At 45.9% G+C, this 24,641-nt stretch overlaps 2 annotated features.

Moving 5' to 3' along the window:
- Positions 15,331-15,832: an enhancer, noted in NCBI's record as "H3K4me1 hESC enhancer chr10:126881561-126882062 (GRCh37/hg19 assembly coordinates)". NCBI's record gives its function as "activates a minimal SCP1, AML or CMV promoter by ChIP-STARR-seq in primed H9 embryonic stem cells {active_cell/tissue: H9 hESC(primed)}" and the evidence as "EXISTENCE:reporter gene assay evidence [ECO:0000049][PMID:30033119]".
- Positions 24,045-24,164: an enhancer, noted in NCBI's record as "active region_4192". NCBI's record gives its function as "activates an Ori minimal core promoter by ATAC-STARR-seq in GM12878 lymphoblastoid cells {active_cell/tissue: GM12878}" and the evidence as "EXISTENCE:reporter gene assay evidence [ECO:0000049][PMID:35858748]".

Here is a 24,641-nt window from a genome sequence, read left to right on the forward strand (position 1 = left end):
ATATCAAGATACTACATGAACAAGGGGACACCTTTGGGCATAAGGATTAGAGCTGACTTTTATGTATTTTTGTGTGTCTCTATTATCTAAGACAAACGTGTACCACTTCTGCAATCAGAATTAAGCAATTTTTCAAAAAAGAATAGGAATGAATTCCTGAAAGGACTACATCATGCTCTGGGAGGTGAGATTGGGAGAGTTGAGAAATGGCTTCCATTTTCTACCTTACAGACTTTTAAAAGTATGTATCACTTTTACGAACAAAAAAGAAGAATGAAGTAAAAGCAAGGTGCAGTCACTGTCAAATTCTTTTCAAAGCCAAAGCCAAACCCACCAGATGTCTTTTCAGGGCCAAAGTATAAAAGGCAGTAAATAGGAAAAGCACCTGCCAACCACACAGGCCTAGAAAGCCTTCGTGTTTGGAGCTGTCCATAAGTTCCAGGGTGTTGGATGGTGCCACCCCACGCGCAGAGGCATGGGAGGTGATGTGAGAGCTGGAGCAGGCAGAGGCCTGGAAAGTCTGCCCTCTGGGGATCGGGGACCAGGGAGAGGAACTCCCCCCAACCCTGAGAGAATGTGCCTGGTGTCTCAGACTGAAGAGGGCAACGTAATTGGGTGGGGGGACTCTCGTACAATTGGGTTCAACTGTCCATTTTCAGCATCTAAACTTCATTCAGTAGCAAAGAATGCAGGATGATGTTGCTGTTTTGACAAAGAGGTGTTTGGGATTTGGAGCGCTGCCCAAGGGCACGGAGGAAGCTTTTTGTATTATCCGCTGACAACTGCATTGTGGACATGCTGGAAGGGGAGTTTGTTCACTGCACAAACACGCAGTCACACCCAGCTTCGCCTATAATGGAACCAACAGTTGTGAGCCCATTAAAGACATGGCAGGAACTTCAGGCTCTGGCAGAATTTGCTGCAGTCATTTTGAAAGGAATCTTGGACACTGAGGGGTCTGTTTTCAACTGTCTAGGGATTTAATTTGCTTCATCAAGTTGATTGTGTGATTTTTTAAATGGGTCTCCATTCTTAAGGCAAATTTGAGTATTTTTATCTCGCTTTTCATTGAGTATTATGACATAGGCATATTTTTCACGTTAATAGAAATTCTTCAAAAACCTCCAAAATGGCATACAATATCCAATCCTGTGGCTGGGCCATACATGATCCCTTTGGTTGGCCATTGAGGTTGTTGGCAAGTTTATTAATATTAATACTGCTGCAATTCATATTTTTGTGCCATTAAACTTTGTTTGCCTTTCAGATTGTTTCCTTAGGACTGATTCCAAGTGAAACCACTAGGTCAAAGGCATACACATTTTTTTTTTAATTTTTTTAAATTATACTTTAAGTTCTAGGGTACATGTGCACAACGTGCAGGTTTGATACATAGCTATATATCTACCATGTTGGTTTGCTGCACCCATCAACTCATCATTTACATTAGGTATATCTCCTAATGCTATCCCTCCCCCAGCCCCCCACCCCATGACAGGCCCCGGTGTGTGATGTTCCCCACCCTGTGTCCAAGTGTTCTCATTGTTCAATTCCCACCTATGAGTGAGAACATGCGGTGTTTGGTTTTCTGTCCTTGCAATAGTTTGCTCAGAATGATGGTTTCCAGCTTCATCCATGTCCCTGCAAAGGACATGAGCTCATCCTTTTTTATGGCTGCATAGTATTCCATGTGCCACATTTTCTTAATCCAGTCTATCATTGATGGACATTTGCGTTGGTTCCAAGTCTTTGCTATTGTGAATAGTGACTCAATAAACATACATGTGCATGTGTCTTTATAGCAGCATGATTTATAATCCTTTGGGTATATACCCAGTAATGGGATGGCTGGGTCAAATGGTATTTCTAGTTCTAGATCCTTGAGGAATCGCCACACTGTCTTCCACAATGGTTGAACTAGTCTACACTCCCAGCAACAGTGTAAAAGCATTCCTATTTCTCCACATCCTCTCCAGCATCTGTTGTTTCCTGACTTTTTAATAATCACCATTCTAACTGGCGTGAGATGGTATCTCACTGTGGTTTTGATTTGCATTTCTCTGATGGCCAGTGATGATGAACATTTTTTCATGTGTCTGTTGGCTGCATAAATGTCTTCTTTTGAGAAGTGTCTGTTCATATCCTTTGCCCACTTTTTGATGGGGTTGTTCATTTTTTTCTTGTAAATTTGTTTGAGTTCTTTGTAGATTCTAGATATTAGCCCTTTGTCAGATAGGTAGATTGCAAAAATTTTCCCCCATTCTGTAGGTTACCTGTTCACTCTGATGGTAGTTTCTTTTGCTGTGCAGAAGCTCTTTAGTTTAATTAGATCCCATTTGTCTATTTTGGCTTTTGTTGCCATTGCTTTTGGTGTTTTAGTCATGAAGTCCTTGCCCATGCCTATGTCCTGAATTGTATTGCCTAGGTTTTCTTCTAGGGTTTTTATGGTTTTAGGTCTAACATTTAAGTCTTTAATCCATCTTGAATTAATTTTTGTATAAGGTGTAAGGAAGGGATCCAGTTTTAGCTTTCTACATATGGCTAGCCAGTTTTCCCAGCACCATTTATAAAAAGGGAATCCTTTCCCCATTTCTTGTTTTTGTAAGGTTTGTCAAAGATCATATGGTTGTAGATGTATGATGTTATTTCTGAGGCCTCTGTTCTGTTCCATTGATCTATATATCTCTTTTGGTACCAGTACCATACTGTTTTGGTTACTGTAGCCTTGTAGTATAGTTTGAAGTCAGGTAATGTGATGCCTCTAGCTTTGTTCTTTTGGCTTAGGATTGTCTTGGCAATGCGGGCTCTTTTTTGGTTCCATATGAACTTTAAAGTAGTTTTTTCCAATTCTGTGAAGAAAGTCATTGGTAGCTTGATGGGGATGGCATTGAATATATAAATTACCGTGGGCAGTATGGCCATTTTCACTATATTGATTCTTCCTATCCATGAGCATGGAATGTTCTTCCATTTGTTTGTATCCTCTTTTATTTTGTTGAGCAGTGGTTTGTAGTTCTCCTTGAAGAGTTCCTTCACATCCCTTGTAAGTTGGATTCCTAGGTATTTTATTCTCTTTGTAGCAATTGTGAATGGGAGTTCACTCATGATTTGGCTCTCTGTTTGTCTGTTATTGGTGTATAGGAATGCTTGTGACTTTTGCACATTGATTTTGTATCCTGAGACTTTGCTGAAGTCTCACCAGTTTAAGGAGATTTTGGGCTGAGACGATGGGGTTTTCTAAATATACAATCGTGTCATCTGCAAACAGGGATAATTTTACTTCCTCATTTCCTAATTGAATACCCTTTATTTCTTTCTCTTGCCTGATTGCCCTGGAGTGGTGAGAGAGGGAATCCTTGTCTTGTGCCAGTTTTCAAAGGGAATGCTTCCAGTTTTTGCCCATTCAGTACGATATTGGCTGTAGGTTTGTCATAAATAGCTCTTATTATTTTGAGATATGTTCCATCAATACCTAGTTTATTGAGAGTTTTTAGTATGAAGGGCTGTTGAATTTTGTCAAAGGCCTTTTCTGCATCTATTGAGATAATCATGTGGTTTTTGTCATTGGTTCTGTTTATGTGATGGATTATGTTTATTGATTTGCATATGTTGAACCAGCCTTGCATCCCAAGGATGAAGCTGACTTGATCGTGGTGGATAAGCTTTTTGATGTGCTGCTGGATTCAGTTTGCCAGTATTTTATTGAGGATTTTTGCATCGATGTTCATCAGGGATATTGGTCTAAAATTCTCTTTTTTTGTTGTGTCTCTGCTAGGCTTTGGTATCAGGATGATGCTGGCCTCATAAAATGAGTTGGGGAGGATTCCCTCTTTTTCTGTTGATTGGCATAGTTTCAGAAGGAATGGTACCAGCTCCTCTTTGAACCTCTGGTAGAATTGACTGTGAATCTGTCTGGTCCTGGACTTTTTTTGGTTGGTAGGTATTAATTATTGCCTCAATTTCAGAGCCTGTTATTGGTCTATTCAGAGATTCAACTTCTTCCTGGTTTAGTCTTGGGAGGGTGTATGTGTCCAGGAATTTATCCATTTCTTCTAGTTTTTCTAGTTTATTTGGGTAGAGGTGTTTATAGTATTCTCTGATGGTAGTTTGTATTTCTGTGGGATCAGTGGTGATATCCCCTTGATCATTTTTTATTGCGTCTATTTGATTCTTCTCTCTTTTCATCTTTATTAGTCTTGCTAGAGGTCTATCAATTTTGTTCACCTTTTCAAAAAACCAGCTCCTGGAATCACTGATTTTTTTGAAGTATTTTTTTGTGTCTCTATCTCTTTCAGTTCTGCTCTGATCTTAGTTATTTCTTGCCTTCTGCTAGCTTTTGAATTTGTTTGCTCTTGCTTCTCTAGTTCTTTTAATTGTGATGTTAGGGTGTCGATTTTAGATCTTTCCTGCTTTCTCTTGTGGGCATTTAGTGCTATAAATTTCCCTCTACACACTGCTTTAAATGTGTCCCAGAGATTCTGGTACTTTGTGTCTTTGTTCTCATTGGTTTCAAAGAACATCTTTATTTCTGCCTTCATTTCGTTATGTAGCCAGTAGTCATTCAGGAGCAGGTTGTTCAGTTTCCATGTAGTTGTGTGGTTTTGAGTGAGTTTCTTCATCCTGAGTTCTAATTTGATAGCACTGTGGTCTGAGAGACAGTTTGTTGTGATTTCTGTTCTTTTACATTTGCTGAGGAGTGCTTTACTTCCAATTATGTGGTCAATTTTAGAATAAGTGCGATGTGGTGCTGAGAAGAATTTATATTCTGTTGATTTGGGGTGGAGAGTTCTGTAGATGTCTATTAGGTCTGCTTGGTGCAGAGATGAGTTCAAGTCCTGGATATCCTTGTTAACCTTCTGTCTCGTTGATCTGTCTAATGTTGATAGTGGGGTGTTAAAGTCTCCCATTATTATTGTGTGGGAGTCTAAGTCTCTTTGTAGGTCTCTAAGGACTTGCTGTATGAATCTGGGTGCTCCTATATTGGGTGCATATATATTTAGGCTAGTTAGCTCTTCTTGTTGAATTGATCCCTTTACCATTATGTAATGGCCTCCTTTGTCTCTTCTGATCTTTGTTGGTTTAAAGTCTATTTTATCAGAGACTAGGATTGCAACCCCTGCTTTTTTTTGCTTTGCATTTGCTTGGTAGATCTTCCTCCATCCCTTTATTTTGAGCCTATGTGTGTCTCTGCAAGCAAGATGGGTCTCCTGAATATAGCACACTGATGGGTCTTGACTCTTTATCCAATTTGCCAGTCTGTGCCTTTTAATTGGGGCATTTAGCCCGTTTACATTTAAGGTTAATATTGTTATGTGTGAATTTGATCCTGTCATTGTGATGCTAGCTGGGTATTTTGCCTGTTAATTTATGCAGTTTCTTCACAGCATTGATGGTCTTTACAATTTGGCATGTTCTTGCAGTGACTGGTACCGGTTGATTCTTTCCATGTTTAGTGCTTCCTTCAGGAGCTCTTGTAAGGCAGGCCTGGTGGTGACAAACTCTCTCAGCATTTGCTTGCCTATAAAGGATTTTATTTCTCCTTCACTTATGAAGCTTAGTTTGGCTGGATATGAAATTCTGGGTTGAAAATTCTTTTCTTTAAGAATGTTGAGTATTGGCCTCCACTCTCTTCTGGCTTGTAGGGTTTCTGCCAAGAGGTCTGCTGTTAGTCTGATGGGCTTCCCTTTGTGGGTAACCTGACCTTTCTCTCTGGCTGCCCTTAACATTTTTTCCTTCATTTCAACCTTGGTGAATCTCACAATTATGTGTCTTGGGATTGCTCTTTTTGAGGAGTATCTTTGTGATGTTCTCTGTATTTCCTGAATTTGAATGTTGGCCTGCCTTGCTAGGTTGGGGAAGTTCTCCTGGTTAATATTCTGAAGAGTGTTTTCTAACTTGGTTCCATTCTCCCCATCACTTTCAGGTACACCTATCAAACATAGATTTGGTCTTTTCACATAGTCCCATATTTCTGGGAGGCTTTGTTCATTTCTTTTTACTCTTTTTTCTCTAACCTTATCTTCTTGCTTTATTTCATTAATTTGATCTTCAATCACTGATACCCTTTCTTCCACTTGATGATCAAATTGGCTATTGAAGCTTGTGCATGTGTCACAAAGTTCTCATGCCATGGTTTTCAGCTCCATCAGGTCTTTTAAGGTCTTCTCTACACTGCTTATTCTAGTTAGCCATTCGTCTAACCTTTTTTCAAGGTTTTTAGCTTCCTTGCGATGGGTTTGAACATGCTCCTTCAGCTTGGAGAAGTTTGTTATTACTGACCTTCTGAAGCCTACTTCTGTCAACTCGTCAAAGTCATTCTCCATCCAGCTTTGTTCCATTGCTGGCGAGGAGCTGTGATCCTTTGGAGGAGAAGAGGTGCTCTGGTTTTTAGACTTTTCCGCTTTTCTATTCTGGTTTCTCCCCATCTTTGTGGTTTTATCTACCTTTGGTCTTTGATGTTGGTGACCTACAGATGGGGTTTTGGTGTAGATGTCCTTTTTAGTGATGTTGATGCTATTCCTTTTTATTTGTTAGTTTTCCTTCTAACAGTCAGGTCCCTCAGCTGCAGGTCTGTTGGAGTTTGTTGTAGGCCCACTCCAGACGCTGTTTGCCTGGGTATCACCCGCGGAGGCTGTAGAACAGCAAATATTGCAGAACAGCAAATATTACTGCCTGATACTCCTTCTGGAAGCTTAGTTCCAGAGGGGCACCCGCCTATATGAGGTGTCTGTTGGACCCTACTGGAAGGTGTCTCCCAGTTAGGCTACACGAGGGTCAGGGACCCACTTGAGGAGGCAGTCTGTCTGTTCTCAGAGCTCAAACACCATGCTGGGAGAACCACTGCTCTCTTCAGAGCTGTCAGACAGGGACGTTTAAGTCTGCAGAAGCTGTCTGCTGCCCTTTGTTCAGCTACAGACTGCTCACAGAGGTGGAGTCTATAGAGGCAGAGGCCTTGCTGAGCTGTAGTAGGCTCTGCCCAGTTCGAACTTCCTGGCCAGTTTGTTTACCTACTCAAGCCTCAGCAATGGTGGATGCCCCTTCCCAACCCAGGCTGCTGCCTCACAGTTCGATGTCAGACTGCTGTGCTAGCAGTGAGCAAGGCTCTGTGGGTGTAGGACCCACCGAGCCAGGCACGGGAGAGAATCTGCTTGTCTGCTGGTTGCTAAGACCTTGGGAAAAGTACAGTATTTGGGCGGGAGTGTCCCATTTTTCCACGTACAGTCTGTCATGGCTTCCCTTGGTTAGGAAAGGGAAATCCCCCAACCCCTTGTGCTTCCCAGGTGAGCTGATGCCCCGCCCTGCTTCAGCTCACCCTCAGTGGGCTGCACCCACTGTCCAACCAGTCCCAGTGAGATGAACCAGGTACCTCAGTTGGAAATGCACAAATCACCTGTCTTCTGCGTTGATCACGCTGGGAGCTGCAGACCGGAGTTGTTTCTATTCTGCCATCTTGGAACGGAAAAAGCATGCACATTTTTTAGTGTTTTGTTTTGGGATTCTTTTTGATCAAATTTTATTTCATGTTGCTAAGGCTATATTTTTCTCTTCTTTTTTTCCAGATAAAATAGATTTGCCCCCAATTATAAAAGAAATACTTACTCAATGTAAATAATTTAGGTAAGAAAAAGAAAATTACCGGGCACATTCACTACATATAACTACTGCTAACATTTTTCCTTCCAGACTTTTTCCTATATGCTTACACACACACACACACACACACACACACACACACACACACACACACACTCACTTCTAACTTACTTCCCTTAACGTATCATGAGTGTCTTCCTAATAATTTAATAGAGGACCAGATCTTTTTATTTGGCTGCACAGCATGCCATGGTATGGAGATATACTTCATGAAAAACCAAGTTTAGACATTTTTAAGGTTCTTCACTCATTTTACCAAAACACTTTCTAACAGCTTAGATCAATAATCCTCACTCCCACAATCAATGTGTGATGATTCTTCTCAAGACCAATGACAACCATTTGCAGTGCCTGACTTTTTGTACCAAGACATTTTTAGCAAAGCATAATGGCAAGGATCTTGACCAGTAAATTTGATAGTTTAGTCCGTTTTCATGAAAGAATGGGAAATAATCATGGCAGCTTACCCATCATGGAAGCCAGATTAGTTCTGAAATATATGTTGGGAGGGTGTTGGAGAAGGGAGCCTAGAGAACTGTGGCTTCCCTAAATATAATTATGGTCACCTATGGCTATGTCTCTGAATTCAGATGGGGGTTTATTTACTGTAATGTACAATATCTTTGGGGAACATTGCATACAGATACTAGCTATTAACTCAATCTAAGAATCACATTTCTTGGCTGGGTGTGGTGGCTCATGCCTGTAATCCCAGCACTTTGGGAGGCCAAGGCAGGTGGATCATGAGGTCAAGAGATCAAGACCATCCTGGCCAACATCGTGAAACTCCATCTCTACTAAAAATACAAAAATTAGCTGGGCATGGTGGCATGTGCCTGTAATCCCAACTACTCCGGAGGCTGAGGCAGGAGAATCGCTTGAACCCGGGAGGTGGAGGTTGCAGTGAGCTGAGATTGTGCCATTGCACTCCAGCCTGGTGACAGAGTGAGACTCATCTCAAAAAATAAATAAATACATAAAAGAATCACAATTCTTGCAATTAATAGAGTGCTGGTCCAACATTCTAATGACAAACTCTCCCCAAAACGCCAATGGAACAGGAGGTGGGGAGCCTCCTAATTAGGCAGGACTTTCCACACAGACTAACGATTGAGATGTTGAGGGTCAGACGGGGGATGCACGGATCTGCGCTGTGTCGCCTGGGCCAAAGGCATGCCACATACAATGGTGCTCACGTGTGACAGGGAAGCATCATTTGCTCTGTCTTTGAGAACTAAGGGACAATGAGACCCCTGCTCACATCTCCACAGGATGCCAGGGACCTCAGTGAGCTGCTGCCGCTGATACTTGGGGCCTGGTGTGACTGTCCTTCCTAAGTGCAACCTCTGTCCCTATAACCCAGTGCATTGAGCCTCCCCAGGAGGGGAGCTGAGGAGCTGGGGTACCGCCCGAGGGATTTGTCAGGGCCTGGGAGCTCTGGAGGTGTCTTCTCCCTGGCTCACTCGAAGCTCTGGAAGGCTGGGTTTGGTTTGTGAACTTTTCTGATCCCGCCTGTTTTCCAAGAAGAAAACACTATTCTTCAAAAGGAACAGAGTACACTCGTGGCCCGGTTAGGATTTTAACACTCCTAGCCAAGGTCTTGAGGGTCAGTGAATTGTTGGAGTTGCAAACCTTGGCCTTGCCGCCTTCTCCGGGCTTCTGGGGAAAGAGGGACAGGCGCCATGTGGCAGCACTCTGGAGCCAGAAGCATCGCAAATCACGCTGTCTTCTGTGCAAGGAGCAAAGGCTTTCTGTGGCCTTTTCCCACCCTGTTTTGCAGGAAAGGAGAAGGTAGCAACTGAGGAAAGAACGCTCTACAGACCAGTAGCCAATAGCTTGGGTGTCATTGGCAAAGACAGAGAGGGCTGGCAAAGCAAACGGACACATTTAAATTTGCAAGCCAGGGTCTCTCTCTGTGGGTCTCTATCCCTCTTTCCCTCTGCCCCCACCCCTGCCCACCCCCTGTGTCTTGCCTTCTCCAGTATGTGGGTGGCTGTGAGAACACCTAGTTCCAGAGCCAGCACTGGCCTTGGGCAATCATGTCCTCTCTGAACCTAAGTTTTCTCTACTTGATGAAAATCGTAGTGCACAACCCACAGAGCTGTCATGGAGATCAGATGAGTCAGGCAACATGAAAGGGTCTTGCAGAGAGCCGCACACAGGTGGCACTCGGTAGAACCAGTAATTTTGATCCTAAAGTCTTTGAGTGGAAGTGGCTCTAGGGTGCTTAGCATATTGGTCCCTTGAGGTCACTGCTCAGCCAGGAGGTTTACTTGCTCATGGACTGGTGTGATGAGGCTTTGGCATGACTGCAAGCTCCCAGAGGGCTTCCCCAGAGGCTGGAATGACGCCAGTGCTCCACAAATGCTGTTGCAGGAAGGCAGGCAGGCAGGCAGGCAGGCATGAACACATGAATGAATGAATGAACTGGCTTGAATAACAAAGGACATTTGCAGAGCACTGTTAGCCTGTGCCAGGTGCCACCTGCACGGTGTCCCTGATTCTCACAGGACTGTCTCTGTGTATCTGGAAGGCTGTTCCCCTTTTCCTCCCTTTCTTCCCTCCCCTTAACTCCTCCTTTCTTCCCTCCCCTTAACTCCTCCTTTCTTCCCCCTCCTCCCTCTTTAGCCCCACTCTCCCTAGGTTCCCACCTGATGAACTCTTACTCATCCTTCAAAGCCCATTTCAGAGCTCACTTCCTCTGGAAGTTTGCCTGCTTCCTTGGATAGAGATAGGTGTTTCCTGTCTGGGGCTTCCCAGCCTCCCTATAGCACCATTCCCCTCAAGCCTGGAAACTTCTGGGTAGAGATTTGGTCTTGCCCGTCTCTGTATTTGGAGTGCCTTGTCCAGGGCCTGTCATCTCAAAGGTGTGTCCTATGTGTTGGTGAATGGCAGAATGTCACAGAGTATCTGGCTTCCTTAAGCAGGTTGCTACCATTTTATACTTGAACCCACACCTGGGATTCATGAAAGCTTTCCCAAAGCCCTGAAACTGCAAATAAGAAACATGGCAGATGGCTCTGCTCTGTTGTTAGTTTCCAGGGGCTTCTAGAGGATTGGCAGCCCTCGGGACCCCACATCAGCACCAGAAGACAATGGAGCAACATACTGAGAAACTGCCAAGAAGAAAATCGAAGAAAGGAACGCAAATCTCTTTAACCAGAGACCCAGCACACAGAATGTGCCACTAAAGGGGGTTTATCTTCCAGAAATAATATGAAAATCACCAAGGCAAAGCACCAGGCTTTGCAAAATTGTTGTTGCCAGTGGTGCCTCGCTGGCAGCTGGGTTGCAGGCCGGGAGTAGAATGCCACCCTCTCTAAGGAGCTCTTCTCCACCTTTGCTATCAGGAATGTCTGTGCTGTCACCAAACATTGGTTGGCTCTGAAGACAGAAAATGAAGAGAGGTTTCTCCCTTCCAAAGAACCAGTGCCTGGGGAGGAGACCCAGGGGAGCTCTCCAGGCTCTAAGATGTCTGCTGGAAGCATCTTGCTCCTGGAGGGGTACACTATTTCTTGGGAGGGCAAAGGCTTCTCAGGGACCATGACATCTGAGTGAAATTTGGAAGCATTGACAGGGCTTCACTGGGTGACAAGGAAGAAGAGCACAAGCAGAGGTCAAGTGTCTACTGGTCGCTAGCAAAGTCAGCCCCAGTGGCTCTGTTGGCACTGAAGTCTTTCTTGCTTGTGTTGCTCTCCCCTTCCAGAGTCGTCAGTGGCTCCCCAGTTCAGTACTACCATGCTTAGGACAAGCTCCTCGTGCAGGTATTCAAGGCCATCCGCAGTACCATCATCTCCCTGCATCCTCTGCCATCTCTTCCCTCCTCCAACCCCGTATGTTTGCCTCTGGTCTGAAAACTCTCCTTCTCCCTCTCAGCTTCCTGTTTGATCTCCGCCACGAGAATGTGAGTTCCGTCATGGCCAACATGGCAGTCCCCTCAGCATCCAGCACAGCGGGTGCTCTAGAAGCTTGGATTCCTTGGCGACATCTCTCCAGCTGGGACGAGGGCTGCTCAGGGGTGAGGGCAGTGATTTCCTTTTGCTGGGGGAGCAGTGGGCACCAAGGCGTAGCCAGGACTCCCTTCCTGAATGGGAGGAGTGAGCTAGTAGCTCTCTGATTGCTGTTTGCTCTTACTCATGGGGACACCTCCAGAGAGGGACTCCCGCCTCAGAGCCCCCCACAGCTGTGTTCTAAAGGAGATTTCCAGATGGACTCTTATGCAAGCACATAAACCCAAACTCCTTCCTCCTTCACTCATTCATTCATGCTCCAAACACACCTGGAGCATTTGTTGGGGTAAAAAAGGGCAGTCACAGACTCTGTTCTGGGGGGCTTCCAGCCAGAGGGCTCAGAGCTGGCCACAGGTAGAGCGAGCCTGAGAGCTGGCCCAGGGGAGGGAGGGAGCTTGGCTCAGGCAGGAAGGTGGTCAGGAAAGAATGCAGCTACAGCAGCATTGGCGTCGAGTCTGGGGAAATGGCTGAAATCAGACAGGTGGCAAAAGTGCACATGTGCATGTGAGCATCATGTGTTTTTATTATATGTGTGTGTGTATAGTGTACATGGATGAATGTATATGTGTGTTTACATGTGAGCGTGTACGTGTATATGTGTATGAGCATGTATGTTGTTTGTATATGTGTGTGTATTGTGCATATGTGTCAGTGTTTATAGGCACACGTGTGGGTTTACATGTATATACATACATGAACATATGTGTTTATGTGTGTGCACAATCATGCGTGTGTTGTGTGCACCCACGCACACACATATGTGTTTGTATGTATACATGTGTACGTGTGTATGTGCGAGTGTGCATAGGATGAGAATGGAGAACAGCTGGTCATCATTTTGGGTTTCCCGGGAGAACGGTGTTAGGTAACAGGGTTAGGTTTGGGAGCAGATGGAGGGACATAGTTGAGTTCATTTGTCCTTGGGGACCACCTGAGGAATCACGACTAAATCTGTGGGCCCTGGGGAGTCACTGAAGGCTCTGAGCAAGGGAATGACACGGCCAGAGCATGTCCAGTGCCTCCACCCTGTCCCATCCTGCTGACCAGGAACGGCACAGACAGGTGCATTTCAGAAGACGAGGGCAAGAGCAAGAGAACTGGTAACCAGGGTCCAACTTAGGAGGAACTTTGACCAAGAAGTTTGAAACAAAGAAGGAAGGTTTGCCCCTAAACTCTTGACTTATTCCTCCTGCTCTTTCCATTCCCACGATTTCTTACTAAACGACTGGAGACACCAGACAATGCCCTCACTGTTGTGTGGCTGCCTGGGAGCGTTCCCGCAGCATCAGAGTCTCTGTGCTCAGGTGACCCTTGTGCTGGGGGTAGGATGCCCCCCCACGTAGGCCTTAAACATCTGGATCACGCTGGGGAACCTGCCACAGGGATCTTTAAAAAAAATAAAGTAAGGGTCTGGATTTTGAACAAACTCTTTTTGTGGGAATAATTTTTTTGTTCCCAAGTATTTGTGGGTTCAACTTTGCACACAATTAATTGTACTTACAAATGCCTCCTTGAGGGCATAATTAGTCACCAGCAACTCATTCTAAAGGCGCCAGAGGCTAATTGTACCCCCAAGTGAGAAGTTTCAGGTGTAATTAATTATTCTTTGATTATTAAATTTATTATTCATTGGTTGGATGCACAAAGTTGTGCTCAGATGAACTTGCTGGCACAAGGAAGGCTGGAATGAAGAGGTCCACCCCACCCCCTGAGCAAACCTCCGCCAAAGGGCTGTGAAAAGAAAGAAAGGGACTGCTGGCTGCCTAGCTCAGCGTGGGAAATTCCTCAAGTGACAGTAACGAGCCAGAGGAATTGGCCAGACATTGGGAGGGCGGCCCAGAAAACCTGTGGCCGGCCCAGAAAGCCTGTGGCCCTGGGCCCCTGGGTCAGGCATAGGGAAAGGGCTGGAGCTTGAAGTCAGCCAAGTCTTCAGCTGGGTGACCTGGGCAGAGCACGTCCCTCTCTGCGCCTCACCTGTAGAATGGAACGCAGTGCTGGCCCATCTCCCTTGCTGTGCAGATGGAAGGAGGTTGTGTCTGAATCTACTTAGCATGGACTCAGGCCCCATGGAATGGGTTTCCAGTAGGCATCAGCCTCCTTGAGAGGCAGAATCATGAGGTGACCACCAAAAAGTACTCAAGAACCTGACTTACCAGTTTTGAAATCCAGAGATACACATCAGCTCTGTAACCTTGGACAGGCTCCCTGGGCCTCAGTTTCCTCATCTGAAAAATGGGAATTCATCATAGCACAAAAGCAAAATACTTTATGGGGTTGTGAAGATTGAATGGGCTAGCATATATAAAGCATTTAGGACCATGCCTGCCACAGTAAACATTATGAAGCATTTGCTATTCTGTCTTTTGTACCTTTCATGATCACAAACCTGTTTTCAACAGGAAAACCACTGCACAAATGGTAACCCATTGACTTTGTGTAAAATGCTCTGTATTTACGCTGATGCCTGACTCTCAGAGAGTATCTGTCTTTTGTAGCCAAGACAGGAGGAGCTGCATTAAAATGTCCAAAGTGGTTATTTACAGCTGCATGATGAAATTATGGATGGTCATTTTCTTCTTGATCCTTTCCAGTATTTTTCATTTTTTAAAGTTTTTCTTAGTTTTTATTTTTAAAATATGCTTTGTTATAACGACGACAAGAGAATAATGTGTACGCTTCCAGTTGGTTATGTGTATCCTTCTGCAAACTGATCTACGTGTCTAGCCCCTAGCTGTCCTTCAAGGCCAGGATCACGCCTTTCACAAGTCTTGTCCTAGCACTTCCCACCCTGCCCTCCATGCCCACCTTCCAGTCATCAGCGGCTTTCTCTCCCCTGCCTACCTGGGCTTTCTCTGGCCACCCGAATGGCGCATGCGCACACTCTCTGCCTCCTGGTTTATCCCGGCCTGACCCTCATTCCCTATGAAATTGAACTGTCCCAGGCCAGGGTCTCCTTGTGCTCCATACCAGGTCCCCCTGGGGCCCCACCAGGATCTCAGCCCATGACTCCCTGCACCTCAGAGCTAGGAAGGTCCTTCGTTTGATCTGACGTTTTATTAGGACAAAAATTCAGAGCAGCACAGAGAATACACCCATACACCCAACACAGTAGCATCACATACTTGCCTTGGGTCTATTTTTTGGAAATAAAACATTGCAGATCCAGGTGAAGTCTCCTTTGTACCCCTCCCCAGAGGTGGCCACTGACACAAATTCGGTGTGTATATTTCCCATTTCATTTTAATAATTTTACTACATATGTTTGAATCTGTAAACAGTTTACAGTGTTTCGTGTGCTTTGAAAATGTACACAGATGCTATCATCCTGCAACACGATTTTCCCTTCAACTGTCTGTCTCTGAGACCTGCCCACAGCGATGCCCGCGGATCCAGGTCTGCAGATGGATGAAGTGGCTGAGACCCTGGGTGCCGCGCTGTCCAATAACAGCCTCTACATTCCATCAGGAAGCTCTGGCTACAAGCAACGGAAGCTGACACCAGCTAACTGAAGCTGGATATGAGAACCAGGTTTAGGAACAGACAGGAAGAGGGCAGTCCCGGGAATCTGGATGGCAAGAACTAACTCACCACCTTGTCATAAAGCTACCAGAATGGAGGCCCTCTGACTGGTGCTTTTTTTTTTGAGACAGAGTCTCGCTCTGTTGCCGAAGCTGGAGCGCAGTGGCATGATCTCGGCTTGCTGCAACCTCCACTTCCTGGTTCAAGCGATTCTCCTGTCTCAGACTCCCAAGTAGCTGGAAAATTACAGGCGCCTGCCACCACGCCCGGCTAATTTTTGTATTTTCAGTACAGATGGGGGTTTCACCATGTTGGCCAGGCTGGTCTCGAACTCCCGACCTTGTGATCCACCCGCCTCGGTCTCCCAAAATGCTGGGATTACAGGCGTTAGTCACCAAGCCTGGCCGAGTGGTGCTTTTCGTCCTTTTGCCACTTCACTCAAGATTCAAGTTCAAAAAACTTTGCTCAAACTGGCTCAAGCAAAGACAGAATATATGGCTCACATAACTTCAAAACAAAACAAAACAAAACAAAACCCCAGTGTCCAACATCCAGGGCTAACTTCAGGACTCAAATGACATCACCAGGACCCGGTCTCTCCCTGTTTCTCACTGTGCTTCCCCCGTGGCCCCTCGCTGTCCTCTCCCTTGTGCTAGCATGATGGCGCCTGCAGTTCCAGCCCTCCGTGCTCGCAGCTTTCCTAAAGACGAGGGCCAGCTTCCATCCCAGCCTTCCCGGGAAAGGACTCACTGCGTCTCATCGGCCCTGATTAGGTCAGGTATTCATTTCTGAACCAGTTACTGTGGCCAGGTGAATGCAGTAGTCTCATTGGCTAACACTGGGTCACATGCTCTCCCCCAGGAGTCCTAACTGAATGAAGCTCAGGGCTGAGAGTTGGGGAACAGTTTCTTAGAGGGAACTTGGCGGTTTTACCCAAATAAGGGGAGTAGATGTCCAGTGGGCCAGAAAAACAACAAATGCCCCCTCTGAAAAGCAAACAGATAAACAAGAGAAGAGATATAAATAAAATAGGCCAGGCAGGGTGGCCATTGCCTGTAATCCCAGCTCTTTGGGAAGTCGAGGCAGGTGGATCACCTGAGGTCAGGAGTTCGAGACCAGCCTGACCAACATAGTGAAACACCATCTCTACTAAAAATACAAAAATTGTCCAGGCATGGTAGCGGGTGCCTGTAATCCCAGCTACTAGGGAGGCTGAGGCAGGAGAATCGCTTGAACCCAGGAGGTGGAGGTTGCAGTGAGCCGAGATCATGCCACTGCACTCCAGCCTGGGCGACAGAGTGATACCCTGCCACAATAAAATAAATAAAATAAAATAAAATAAAATATAAAATAAAAACAGGGCAGCAGGCCGGCCATCATAGGACTCGCCAGAGCCTGGGCTGGGAGAGGGGAGGACCAAGAAGCAAGTGTTGGTGATGGTGTGATGGCTTCACTATGCAAATGAACATATGAACAACTGTCTTTTTTTTTTTTTTTTTTTTTTCAGACAGAGTCTTGCTCTTGTTGCCCAGGCTGGAGTGCAGGGCGTGATCTCGGCTCACTGCAACCTCCACCTCCTGGGTTCAAGCGATTCTCCTGCCTCAGCCTCCCAAGTAGCTGGGATTACAGGCGCCCACCACCATGCCCGGCTAATTTTTGCATTTTTAGTAGAGACGGGGTTTCGCCATATTGGCCAAGCTGGTCTCAAACTCTTGACCTCAGGTGATCCACCCGCATCGGCCTCCCAGAGTGCTGGGATTACAGGCGTGAGCCACCGCGCCCGGCCTGAGCAACTGTCTTAAAAACAAAAAACGTTGGTGCCAGTTCGCACGGCTTGCCTGCACCCCCAATGACGGAGGAGGTTGGGCTGTGAGGTGCCCAGCATGCTCCCTTCCATCTTCCTGCCCATCCATTACAGTCAGATGATTAACTTCAACCACATACTACATTTTCCCGGGATTATCCCCTCAAATGAATTATATGATTAATAAAGTTTCAATATTTTTCACTTAGCAATTAATCTTAGTGAGCACAAAACTTAATTTAAAGTGCTGGTGCAGTGGCTGGAACCCATTAATCAGAGTGTTGAAGGAGCCAGCTGGGTGCAGAATGAACCCGGGCGGTGAAATACGGGCACTTCTCAAAAACCGGGAGATCCTCTCCAGTGTGAGCACGTGTCACATTTGAGGCGCGGCGTCACCAGATAGCAGAGCTGGCCTGGCTGGCAGGGCCTTTCATTTTAGATTCTGTGTGGGGAAAACCTCCAGACTGGGTTTAGCATTCATGAGCAGTATTCACCGGAGGAAAGAGATGATCGAAAAAATAGTTCATAAACCCCAACCAGTCATTATTAGAGTGGCAAAAACACAATACTTATGCACAGAATAGTTTACATTAAATTAAAAACCATAACTTATCTCTGAGACACTCCATTTAGTACATCTGAGGTTAAATATGGTTCATAGCAGCTCTTTCAATTAAATTGTTCTTCCTTTGCTCTAGTCAACTATATTAAACATAATTTCCTGAAAAGTAACAGAGAATCATTACTCTGTTTACAAATTGATACCATGTTATTGAAAATAGGAAAAATTTGCAGGGTTACTTCAGATTACTGTATTTTTACAGAGAATCTGATATTGGCAAGGAGGATACCGTGAAAGCCCAGGTTTCTGGCTTTCCAGTCAAGGATGGGGTAGGACTTGGGTGGGGGAGGACAGAGGGGTATGGAAGCATCAGAGCCAGTGGGTGGGACCTGATAGGAAATCCCAAGGCTGGTCCTGGGAAACCAGGAAAGAGGTTTCCTAGAGTCCTGTGTCCTTCCATTATGACCCCAGTGTCCTCACAGCTGGAGAGCTCCGAACAACCACACTGCAGGTGGATTTTGAGTTGTTTGTTTATGTTTGACGTTATGGTTGTCATTCTATTCATGTCACTGACTTTATAGCCTTAGCTGGCTTTTATCTTTGCCTGTCCGATCGGACGGGCCTGTTACATTTACATGAAGCCGGGCTGTCTCTTACCTCTGCTCCCTGAGTCTCAGTCACAGTATTCCTTCAAGTTCATAAACAAAGCCCCAAAACGCCTTCTCCAGGTTTGATGCAGCTCAAGTGAAGCATGTGGTTTGCAAGACTGTCACATGGGCCTCGGGCTTGACTGTCATCCTCCAGTGATTTGGCCAACGGAGGGCTGCAAGGCAAAGCCCAGATGAAGCTTCGATCCTTTGTAGAGGCTGAGTCTCTGGGAACCAGGTGCAGCTCTAAGTCAAAGCCATCTGTCCACGGCAGTAGGATGTGATGTCAGGCCTGCCGCGGATGCATGTCGCCTGTGGGAACGGCCCAGAGACTGCGAGGAAACTACACATTTAGAGGAGGTGTGGAGTGAGCCCTCCTTTGAGTGGAGAAATAGAGCATTGCTACCCACTGCTCTGGCCATAGTGGCGTCATTTGTGTACCGTAGTGTGCAGGTCGACAGCATCTCAATTATACCAAGAACGTGCAAGAATGGTCATCGTGCATGTGGTCTCTTCAGAACCACCCACTCCACCCCATAAAACATTGCTCTCACCCTAGAGGTGTCTTTGACTCACTAGGAACTGTGAGCAGTTGCCCATAGGCCTGGGGGCTGGAGCGCTATTTAGAAAAAACCACTTGGTCAAGATGGTGGGGCAGTCCTTGAGTCGTGGTCACCCGAGGCCTGTCCCACCAAGCATGCAGCTCCTCCCAACTCGGCTCCAGACCCCCACTGGGACATCAGGTATATGATGTGTGCCTGGCATGAACAAGTAGATAGTGAGAAACATTGTTGTTCCACAAGTGGAAACTGCCTCCAAAAGACAGGAGCAATTTGCCATCCAGCACTGTATCCATTTCCCCAGACTCTTGCCAATGTCTGAGATTTGGGCTAATCCAGTGAGTAAAAAAGGTATCTTACTGCTGTTTTAATTTGCTTTTTCTTGATTCCCAGTGAGGTGAAGCAACCTTTTTTTTTTTTTTTTTTTTTTGAGATGGAGTCTTGCTCTGTCGCCCAGGCTGGAGTGCAGTGGTGCGAACTTGGCTCATTGCAACCTCCACCTCCCTGGTTGAAGCAATTCCCCTCAGCCTCCTGAGTAGCTGGGATTACAGGCACACGCCACCCCACCGAGCTAATTTTTTTTCTATTTTTAGTAGAGACGGGGTTTCACCATATTGGCCAGACTGGTGTCGAACTCCTGACCTCAGGCAATCCGCCTGCCTCAGCCTCCCAAAATGCTGGGATTATAGGTATGAGCCACTATGCCCGGCCGAGGCAACTTTTTATATGCTTATTGGCCATGTGTATTTCTTCGATGAATTGCCTCATATATTCTTTGCCCATTTTTCTATTGCGTTGAATTTTTATTATTAAATTGAAACATTTCTTTGTATAATCTGCTTATTAATACCTTGTCTGTCATGTATGTTACAATTGTTTTCTCCCAGTCTCCTTCTTTTAACTTAGATTATGATATTTTTATTTTTTATTTTCTCAGAGATGAGTGTCTCACCCTGTTGCCCAGGGTGGGGTACAGTGGCACAATCACAGTTCACTGCAGCCTCAAACTTGCGAGCTGAAGCGATCCTCCTGCTTGCCTCCTAAGTGGTAGCTGGAACCACAGGTGTGTGCCACCGTGCCCAGCTAATTAAAACAATTTTTTCCTTTTGTAGAGATGGGGTCTTGCTTTGTTGTCCAGGCTGGTCTGGAACTCCTGGCACAGTTTCTTTTTTTTTTTTTCTACAGAAATACTCATTTTTTTTTTTTCTCCAGAGAAATACTCATGCATGCTTAAGAAGCCAAGACAAGGATGTCCATTGCAGCATTGTTTTTAATGTGAGACTCTGGAGAAACCCGTATGTTCATCAATAAGGGACTGGTTAAACAAATTAACAACACATCCATACTGAGGATTGGGCCACTAAACTGTAGAAAAAAGACAAATGAGGCCAATATGTACACAGTGATTTGGAACATTCTGCAAAGCAAGTTGCAAAAGATACATAGAGTATGATACTGTTTAAATTAATAAAAGCCCAGCAGATAAAAAAACTCAACTACATATTTCTTTAAATGATATTTTTATATGCTTGTTATTTATATTTATATTTATTTGTTTATTTTTTGAGATGGTGTCTCACTCTGTCGCCCAGGCTGGAGTGCAGTGGCACAATCACAGCTCACTGCAGCCTTGACCTCCCGGGTTCAGGCGATTCTCTTGCCTCAGTTTCCTGAGTAGCTGGGACTACAGGTGTGCATCACCACATTGAGCTAATTTTTAAAATATTTTATAGAGATGGGGTCTCCCTACATTGCCCAGGCTGGTCTTGAACTCCTGGACTCAAGTGATCCTCCTGCCTTGACCTCCTAAAGGGCTGGGATTACAGGCGTGAGCCACTGTGCCCAGCCGATAGTTTTATATGCTTCTACTGATAAGTTCATAGAAACAAATCTGGAAAGATCCACACTGTACAAATGCCAGGAGTTACTTTGGAAAGGAGTCTGGAATTGGAAGTGAGGTTCTGAGGGGACTTGAGTTGTATTATTTGTATTATTTTAACCTGTATTATTTGAATAGTTCATAATGAGACCATATTCCTATTTTATATGGTAATTGATGCAGAAAAACTGCCTTGTAACATAGGCCCCAGCAGATCCTGTGAGGTCGCCAGAAGGCCGGGCACACCTGGACCCACCTGTTTCATCTGCGCTGAATCCACAGAGATAGTCCAGAGGAAGAGAGGAGGAGGAAAGAGAGTGGAATCTATCGAGCATCTCCTACGAGTCAAACCCCATGCTAGGGCATTCAACTCGGAATTATCAGAGCTGAGTGCAACTGCTGACCTTGTTATTACCTGTGTGACCTTGGGCGAGACAGTTAGCCATTCAGCTATTTGGGCCTCCAGTTCTTCATCTGTAACATGGGGATGACATCACTTGCATTGTCTGATTTGTGCCAGACAGAATTCAAGGTGCTAACCGAACAGCTTCAAGGACCCACAGATCCAAGTAAGAGAATGTGAAACGGCGAAACAATTTGAGGGCCTAGGATTGCTTTCTGACCATGTGGGTCACAGGGTAGGTGTTTAAGAGATAATCCTTGAAGGTACCTGTGAGATGGTGTCAGCTCTTCTCAGCGCAGGGCTGAGCCTTGATGAGTGCCTGGAGGCTTCTTAGGGTTTTGCTGTTCTCAGTCTGTGCCTTTGAACCTTTGATGTAAAAGAGGCCTTCAAACAACAGAAATAAAGTGGGTGTTGATGCTGGCATGGCATTTACAGAGTTAAATCCACAAAGGGAAGTAAGGAAGATTCCAGATGGAGAAGACCCTCCAGGGGAAAAATTAAGATGAGAAGAGCCATCCATTAGGGGCCATGTCTTCCCTTTCTGAGACCATCTCTAATGCGATTCATCAGTGTCAAGGCCAGCAAGAAAGACCTGCAAGGATCAATTCCTCTGTGCAAGATAAAGAGTTTAAAATAATTGTATATATGTAAAGTATTTGCCTTCTCATAATTGAAGAGAACAGAGAGAGAGTCAAGAATATTTCAGGGAGAATGTCTTCGCTTCATGTCTAGAGTCTGCAGCATCATGCAGATTGGTTAGTAGCTGGCAAAGAGCCAAGAAGCTTAATCAATCTCCAAAGTTTATTATGAGTAACCCCCAAAGCTAATGGATCATTCTTAGCAAGAACATCATCCTGGTTATTTCCTCATTTTTATAAATTGATCTATAACGTTAAATCTGGGTCCTTGAGAGGGCTGCTAGGGGCATTAATAATCAGTGAATCCAGCAGAATTCTTTTGTTTCCAAAAAGATCAAATGAAACTGTTCTTGTTTAAGTTGGGATAGGATCCTACCTGCTCAGACCGCACTCCCTGACCCCTACAGTGGCCCTGCAGTGGCCCCACAGGGACCTCCTACGAACCTTAGGGCTCTAAAGAGCACAGTTTGAAGCACTGATCTCACCAAAGTCCCCCATTTTGCAGATGAGGAGGCTGAGGCCCTGAGACAGGAGGTGACTTGAGCAAGGTCATGCTCAAAGTGCATGTGGCAGACATGATTGGATGCTACTCAGCAGCCATTGCCCAACTCCCTTTGTCTTGCTTGAAGAGCTCATCTCACATTATACGGGCTAAAAATGCTGGCTGCTCACCTTTCTGTCCTCTCTTCCAGCTGCAGCATGGGCACTGACTCAATCCTGCCCAATTCTGGAAAGGGTCTACTTCCCTGGCAAAAAGAAGCCAGCAAGGAGAAACTGTCTTTCTTTTTGACTTTCAATGTGTTTGTGGCGAGTATGTGATGACTGGAGCTGCAGCAGCTATCTTACAGCCATGAGAGCAAAATTTGAAGTTGACTGCTAATTAGCTGGTGTGTAGCCAGGAGACAGGAACCACTCTAGGTGTTTAAAACAGAGGAAATTAATGCAGTGATTGCTTACATAGATGATGGAAGACTGATAAGCCAAAGGGGAATGCCAAAGCACCTCCCCTGCCCCAAGAGGTCAGCAATTACAGATACTGTTAACACTCCTAGGGCTGGAGGGACAGAGGAGGAAGGAGTAAGCACCCAGAAGCTGGAGCTGGGATCTGAAGTTACAGCCGAGAGCCTCTTGGAAGGAGCTGGGAGCATCAGGGTGGTGTCTGATGGGAGCTTGAGCTACGTACAGCAGAGGTTCAATCACTGCCAGAGATGCTGCAGGAAGCACAGAGGGAGGCAGAGACATGCCCGACTCACTCCATCTGCCCTTCAATCCTCCATCAGTGCCTCCCATTGGCTGAACTCCCTAGAATCCTGGGAACTGCAGTTCTCTGAAACAAGGCAGAGCAGAGAATGGAGCTGAGAGCAAATGGGCAGTTGACCCTACCCATCACACTAAGGATGGCATGGCAGAAAGACAGAGGGCCCTGTGGCTTTAGTGATGATATTGTTAAAACATGGACAAGTCCATATCTCACCCGTTGCTGGATATCTCCTTCTGGGGATGGGAAAAATCTGAAGGCTGGATGTGGTGGCTCATACCTATAATTCCAGCGCTTTGGGAGGCTGATGTGTGAGGATCACTTGAGCCCAGGAGTTTGAGGTTGCGGTGAGCTATGATCACACCACTGCATTACGGATGGGGCAACAGAGTGCAACCCTGTCTCAAAAAAAAAAAATCTGAATTCATAAAGCCTCCTGGGCTTGGGCATTTTGTTCTTGTAGGTTAATGGTCTCAGTGCTGCACCAGGTCTGAGTCAGACCCATGTCTTTCAACTGCCAGTCCTGAGCCTGGGCCACTGCACCTGCAGACAGTGACAGAGGCCAGAAACCTGAATCTTTGTCCACTCTGCAGGTGAAGGAGTTCACTTTGACAGAGCAGAGAAACAGAATGAGTCAGCAGCAGGTCCACACGCTCCTTGTTCTACAACAGAAAAGCTGCTCTGAGTAACTCATGCACAGAGTGAGAGAAAGAGGAAGGACCTGGGCAGCCCCCATGACCAGCCCCCATGAACCACTGACACGGTTCCACGTCAATGGAACCATGGACAGAGGTGCCCACGGGGCTAAATCCCAGGTTTTTCCTGGGGCCAATGTGTGAAAGCCGAGAGTTCAGCTGAATGAGTCACCTGAGCCTGTGGTTTTTACACTTTGTTTAGACTCAGAATCCAAGAACACTTTGCTCAGAAGCCCAACGTGGGGTTGGGAACCCCAGGTATCCCCCTCCATCCTATCCCCCAGCCTGTGGGTCTTCCCAGTGCTCTGGAGGCAGTTTGAAAACAGCTGATCTCAGCCTGGCCAAGATGGTGAAACCCCGTCTCTACTAAAAATAAAAATAAAAAAAAAATTAGCCAGGCGTGGTGGTGGGTGCCTGTAATCTCAGCTATGAGGGAGACTGAGGCAGAGAATTGCTTGAACCCAGGAGGCGGAGCTTGCAGTGAGCCGAGATCGTGCCACTGCACTCCAGCCTGGGCAACAGAGCGAGACTCTTTCTCAAAAACAAAACAAAACAAAACAAAAACCAGCTGATCTCATCTCCCTAAGTTAGTTTATAAATGAGGAAACTGAGACTTCGGTTCTGTTACTTGGTTGCAGTGACAGAAACCCTACTCAAGCTAGCCTGGGTGGCCGGGGGACTTACTGGCATAGGCAGGGATGGAGCTGGCCCCAGGGATCAGGGGCATCATCAGCTTGGCAGTTGTTGTCTCTTGTTCCCCTCCTCACACCCACACTTCACCCCACATCTGCTGGCTTCTCTGCATGCTGGTGTCGCCACCTCCTACCGCAGGCCAAATTCTCTTTCATGGTCAAGAATGTGGCTGCTGGTATTTCTGGATTTGCTTCTCCCACTTAGCCCCAGGACAGAATTCTGAATGCCTTTCTCCTGATTCCAGGATGCAGACTTCTGGGGACACATTTGGAGCCTCTGCCTATGGCTTGGACCACTCTTGGCATCAGGGGAATGACATA

This window comes from Homo sapiens, chromosome 10 (assembly GCF_000001405.40).
Source record: "Homo sapiens chromosome 10, GRCh38.p14 Primary Assembly".
Taxonomy (NCBI): domain Eukaryota; kingdom Metazoa; phylum Chordata; class Mammalia; order Primates; family Hominidae; genus Homo; species Homo sapiens.